Source organism: Homo sapiens, chromosome 21 (genome assembly GCF_000001405.40).
Source record: "Homo sapiens chromosome 21, GRCh38.p14 Primary Assembly".
NCBI classification, from domain to species: domain Eukaryota; kingdom Metazoa; phylum Chordata; class Mammalia; order Primates; family Hominidae; genus Homo; species Homo sapiens.
In genome coordinates, this window is record NC_000021.9 from 41,662,343 (window position 1) to 41,668,480 (window position 6,138).

Sequence of the window (6,138 nt, forward strand, 5' to 3'; positions counted from 1 at the left end):
CCAGGGCTCCCAGGCTCATGGTGGTCCAGTGGCCCCCTGCAGTTGTGGCTGGGACACTCTGCTGCGTGATGCAGCTGGCGTTCGGTGTTTGTAGCAATGGGGTCAGCCTTGCATGGTCCCTAACCTCCCCTGGGGACTTACAAAGTCTCTGGTCCCACATGGCATCTGAGATCTGCTTCCTAACTGAGGCAGCTTCAATTTAGCTTCCAGGTTCAGTGGCCCTGCCGTGGGACAGGGGCTCACCTACAACAGTGGGTGGAGCAATCTGCAGCAGGATAGAAGGAGGAGAAAAAACTAGAAGCTGAGAATGAATGGACCCCAATGCAGCAAAATGCTACTGGTAATTGCATTAACATAGATAATAGCCTGTAGTCATTCATTCACTCCTTTTTTCTTTCTCTCATTCCACAAATATTTATGGGGCTCCTCCCTATGCACAGCACTGTGTTATGCACTGCAGACTTGAAGGTCCATGCATCTGTGATGTCTACTTCCCTGAAGCTGGCATCCTCCAGGTGGAGACGGACAACACACCAGTACCCAAAATGATGGCAGGTTCTGTGCCGTCAAGAGAGTCAACATGGTGAGGACGTCGGGTGCAGCTGCTGGGGACGGGGCATGGCAGCCCATCTTTGGGTCCGGTAGTCAGGAAGGCCTCTCGGAAGAGGTGATATTGGATCTGAGATCCGGAGGGTGAGAGTGATCTTTGGAGGGGCCGCCCATGCTCAGGAAAGAGCAGAGACAATGATCATGTCATCTAGTATTTCAGCCCCTGTTCATCTAGCTTGGCTAACAAATCACCTTGTGATATATGGTTTGGCTGTGGCCCCACCCAAATCTCATCTTCACTTGTAGCTCCCATAATTCCCACATGTTGTGGGAGGGACCTGGTGGGAGATAATTGAGTCATGGGGTTTTCCCCCACACGGTTCTTATGGTAGGGTCTCATGAGATATGATAGTTTTATAAGAGGAAGCCCCTTTCACTTGGCTCTCTTTCTCTCTCTTCGCTGTCACCATGTAAGACCTGCCTTCACCTTCTGCCAAGACTGTGAGGCCTCCCCAGCCACATGGAACTGTGAGTCCATTAAGCCTCTTTTTCTCTATAAATTACCCAGTCTCAGGTGTGTCTTTATCAGCAGCATGAGAACAGACTAACACACCTTGCCAGTGTTTATCCTTAGAGGTGCATTCCTTTGCACCAGTAACGGAACCATTGATATTTAGAGGATCAAAGATGCAACCAGGAGTGGTGGCTCACGTCTGTAATCCCAGCACTTTGGGAGGCCAAAATGGGAGGATCACTTGAGGTCAGGAGTTCGAGACCAGCCTGGCCAACATGGTGAAACCCTGTCTCTACTAAAAATACAAAAATCAGCCCGGGGTGGTGATAGGCACCTGTAATCCCAGGTACTCAGAAGGATGAGGCAAGAGAATCGCTTGAACCTGGGAGGCAGAGGTTGCAGTGAGCCGAGATCGCACCACTACACTCCAGCCTAGGTGACAGGGTGAGACTCTGTCTCAACAACAACAACAAAAAGATGCAATTGTAATGAGCTCTGTGTAGTCTATGAGCCCCCAAACACTCACGTTTGCCAGGTGTGTGTGTCACCACAAGATGGGGCACAGGGGCTGCCCTGGCAGGAGGGTCACTTGGAGAAGGAGTAAGCCCTGTGGAGGATCCAGTGTTCATCCACCCTGGGGCTAGGCATGAGAGGGTCCTCCAGGAGAGGCTGCACACAGAGGAGGAAAACCTGCAGGGCTGACTTGAAGCCGGGACACTTAAGGAGAAGCCCCAGTGTTCACACTGTAAAACCAGCCAGGACACTGGCAGGAACACTGTCTGGGTGTTCGGGAACTTCGCATTTCCAGCCAGCATGTGAAGGCGCGTTCTTCCACTTTAAGGTCCGCTGCAGAAGTGGCAAAGCCATGTGCCTTGAGCTCTGCTCACAGGAAAGAACACGACAAAGCTAAGGGGACTTCACAAGGGCTGTGTCAAAAGAGGTTCACTTCCCTTCTGTCAGACGCGGGGCAAAGGTCGGGAAAGTGTGCTGCTGTGACTCACTGCATGTCTGTAGCTGATGCCCAAGCCCTCTTGTTTGTTTCAATGTCTTCATGCAGAGATTGACTTTTTAAAATCAAAGGGACCAACATGTCTTCTCTGAAATCCGCAGGGCCAAGGTGGGTATAATTGCTTACGGGGGAACCTGACAGTGCCCCTCAGCAGTTCTGATTCTAAAAACTGTCACACGCTGGGGGTGTCACCCGCAGAGGGAGGGGGTTCTTGTTTATCCAGCAAGCGTGTGAGTACGGGCTTAAATCGTGACGACCACCTCTCCAGCAGCTTGACAGTCCCCCACTGGCAAACTCCTTGAATTTTCTGGAGGTCAGGTAAGTCTATAAAATATCACAGAAACAGCAGGTGCTAAATCAGAGGAGGTGACAAGAGGCCGGAAGGGTTTCTGGCTCTTTAACTCCCTTCCAGCAAAAGGGTCTTGCGATCCCTCCACCAACTTCAAGATATGAAGATAACTCCTCAGAAGGAAGCCCCTGGGTCCGGTCGTGGAGGCCCAGTGTGCTGAAGCTGTGTAGTAAGCCACTCAGACGGGAGATTTCCAACGCCAGGTTCAGCTGCGGCTCAGACGACCCATGTCTAACCCGACCGGGTGCTGTCAGCCCCTCCCAGCCCAATCTGCTCCTTCTCCTTCCTGGATCCACCCTGGAGCTCCGTTGTTTGATTGTTTTTGGCAGGGGACAGCCAAACAGCTCTGTGAATGAGGCATATCCTGAACATTTTCAGTTTTGTGGGCCATGCTGCGCTCTGTCACGCGCCTCTGCTGTTGTCGTGGGAAAGCAGTCCTCAACAATGTGTCAATGAACCGTGGGGCTGGCTTTCAACCCAATGCTATGTTCAGAAAGGGGCAGCGCCCGGACCCAGGCTTACAGGATTAAACTGACTCATCTGGGGCCGGCATGGAATGTGAGAGGGAACTTGCCTCACCCACGGGCCCCCATCTCCCCATGAGCAGACATGCTGGGACAGAGGGGGGGCTTCATGCTGTGGCTTCCAGGAGCCCCTGCAGGCTCAGACAGGGCTGGGGGAGCCCAGCGGATCATGTGGGGCCGCCTTCGGTCTATCAGCATCTTCGCAGCTTCCTCTAAAGAAGGCAGAGCTGTTCTGCTAAAGGCAGGCAAACAGTGCAAAAGCTGCCGGCCTCGATGCTCTTTCGGTCCGCAGATGGCTTCTGTGACTGCACCTAAGCAGTGGCTGCTTGGACAGGGTCCTCAGACAGCCTTTGTGATTTTGCACATAAGCAGCGGCTGCTTGGATGGAGCGCTGTCGCTGGGCTGACCGATGTCGCTGGCGGGAGCCCTTGCCCCAGGTTTTCCCTGTCTTCTGAGTGACAGCCCCCAGGGTCCTTGTCAGCCTTCTGGGGAGGCTCCCTCCCTGCTCTGCCTTAGTTCCGGAGCACAGGGAACCACCAGGTTGCATGGCCCCTTCCAGGCTGGTATGTGGGCAGCCTAGCAGCACCTGCTTCAGGTCCCTGTTGGAACTTGGCACACAGTGGGTGGGTGGCGGGGGGAGGTTTACAGGTTACCATGGGGTCCTGGGTGTCCTGGCAGCAGGCCTGCCCCACCCATGAGTGGACCCCAGCTCCCTCTGGGGTCGAGAAGCCCGTGTCCTCACAGCACAGCCCCTCTGACAGTCAAGGAAGAGGTCTCGTGAGCCGGGTCGTGTGTTTACAAACAGCACTGGCATCTTGTGGAGCAGTCACTAGCCTGGCTTACTTCCCGGGCAGGAGGGCTGATTGTGAGGCCCAGTGGTCCCAGTGGTTGGCCTGGGGTTTGCTGGCTGGTGTTCACAGCTCCAGCTGGAGTAGCTCAACCTCTGCAGAAGATGGGAGAAGGGTGGCACTGGGATCCTCAGTGTCCACTGGGGAGGGCTGCCCAGGAGACCTTGGGTGGCGTCAGGTCATCACTGCCCTTCCATCCAGGGCACAAAGCTGCCTGGAGACTGAGCACCGCCTGAGGCTGGCACGAGGGCTGGCCTCACACACGTGACACTCCTCACACATGGCACCCCTCACACACGGCACTCCTCACACACACGGCACTCCTCCTCACACACATGGCACTCCCCATGCATGTGACACTCCTCTCCTCCTCACACACACATGGCACTCCTCATGCACATGGCAGTCCCGACCCCACCAGAAAGGCATCGAGACTCCATCTTACCCTCAGGGAAACTGGCACTCAGTGAGGCCCAGGGCCAGGCTGCACTGCAGCTGAGGGCTGGAGATCTACACACCCGAAGGCTTTGCTTTCCTCCTCGCGCTCCATGGCCTCCAGTTGGGGCACCCATGGACCACCTTGCTCCCAAGCCAACCTGATGTGGGGAAGCAGCAATGGAGAAAAGAGAATAGACTGGCAACAGGAAGACTTCCCCAAAGGACCCGGAGGGGCCTCTCTGGGAGAAGCACCCTTCCCTTCCGGGGCTGTATCTGAAGGGGAAGTGCTCTCTTAGCTGCACCCTCCACCATCCCCTGTGGGCCGCAGGGAGGTGGGGCTCCTGCCTGGGCTGCTTCCCCCAAGGGAAAGCATCTGATAAGGTCATAACAGCCCCTTCTCCAGCCTCTCCTGGGGAGCTCCAAGGATGACCTCACCTCTGCACTACCTATGAGTCAAGGAAACGGGCACAGCCTCTCATTCTAGAAGAGGGAAGAGGCAGAAAGGGGAAGCACATGGGTTAATGGCGGGACCCAGGCCTTCGAGACCTCCCCAGGCACAGCTGACCCCATCCTGGTTTTGATGACTGATTGACAAGCATTCATTCATTCAACATGCTTTGCTTGGGGACAGACACCAGATTCATCAGATGGGACTGGGGGTGGATTTGGGGTGGGGCCAGCTCACGGAGAGCCTTGGTTTCCAGGGCATTTGGATGCTTTTCTGTAAAGAGGGGCACTCCGTGAACATGTGTGACCAGAGCTGGGCCTGGGCAAAGGCATGAGTTTTAGCCCTGGGGGTACAGGAGAGCCAGCTGGAGGGGAGGGGGCAGCCCCCACCAGAAGCAGCCTGGGGTTCGGGAGGAGATGTGTTGTTATAAAGTAGGACTTCCTGAACCTTTTGTACCACAGATGCTGCTCAGAGTGTTTCAAAATAGCATGTAGGATTCCAGAGGAAACTAATGATGTTAAAACACATTTGCCAGACTTCAAAAAACAAAGTTAGATATGATAGTATCTGAGCTCTCTATGAGCACATTTCATTGCAAGACTGGGCATGGGATCTAGTGACCATCACACTTTTACCACCATGATGAGTGAAAACATCACTTCTAGACAGCAGCAACACCTGAGATGCAATATGAACCTTTCTGTGACTTCAGCTGGGAACAAAGTCACTTGCTAGCCAGGAACGCCATTGCAAGTGGTTTACTTTCAAAATAGAAGGAAATTCTAAACTTCACTTAAAGGTTGGTAAAAATGAGATGCAATTTTTTTCTCCTGATTTTTTTCTCAAGGGAAGATGCTCTGTAGAAAACTTTGAGAAGGTCAGGGGCATGAGAAGCCCTGAGATCAGCCAGAAGCTGATGCCTGAGTATCGGGGTACAGGGGGAGCCACGAGGGTGGGACCCACAGCATTGGCATGGAAGTGAGGAGGCTCCTGAGACCAGTTAGTTCTCCCCGGACTGTCCCAGTGAGGAACCCAGGACCCAGGTGACCAAATGATCAGTGGGCATCAGAAGTAGGATGGAGACTGGCCCTGGCTCACAGCGCCATACTTACCCGAGAGAGACCCTGGGGGCAGACCCCTGGGCGAAACTTCCCAGGACAGCCAGACGTGGAGCAGCCAGCAGGTGCTTCCAGAAGAAATGAACATTCCAAGCCAAGGCACCTCCCGCCAACACCACCCCCCAAGGCGCTAAGGATGCCCAGAGCCACTCCATCTTGGGGGCGCTGTCATTTGGTTTCAGAAAACCACATTCTGTAGTGGGTGCCAGGGTGTCCTCAAGACTTCTGGGCTCTGGCACTCGTCATCTGGACTCCTTTTCAAAGGAAAATGCCCCAGGCGAGGTGGGGCTAGCATCTGCCCCTCACCCTGCGGCCAGCTGGGCGGCCCCACCCAGCCTGGC

At 54.6% G+C, this 6,138-nt stretch overlaps 1 long non-coding RNA gene across 1 annotated transcript; it reads right to left on the bottom strand.

Annotated features, from left to right (window-relative positions):
• Positions 1–3,321: 3,321 nt before the first annotated feature.
• On the bottom strand, positions 3,322–5,937 carry LOC107985478 (uncharacterized). The gene is made up of 3 exons (XR_001755103.2): positions 5,792–5,937; positions 4,239–4,389; positions 3,322–3,888 (listed from the first exon to the last, which is right to left on the bottom strand). It is a non-coding gene; the product is annotated as an uncharacterized LOC107985478 (long non-coding RNA).
• Between the last annotated feature and the right edge of the window lie 201 nt (positions 5,938–6,138).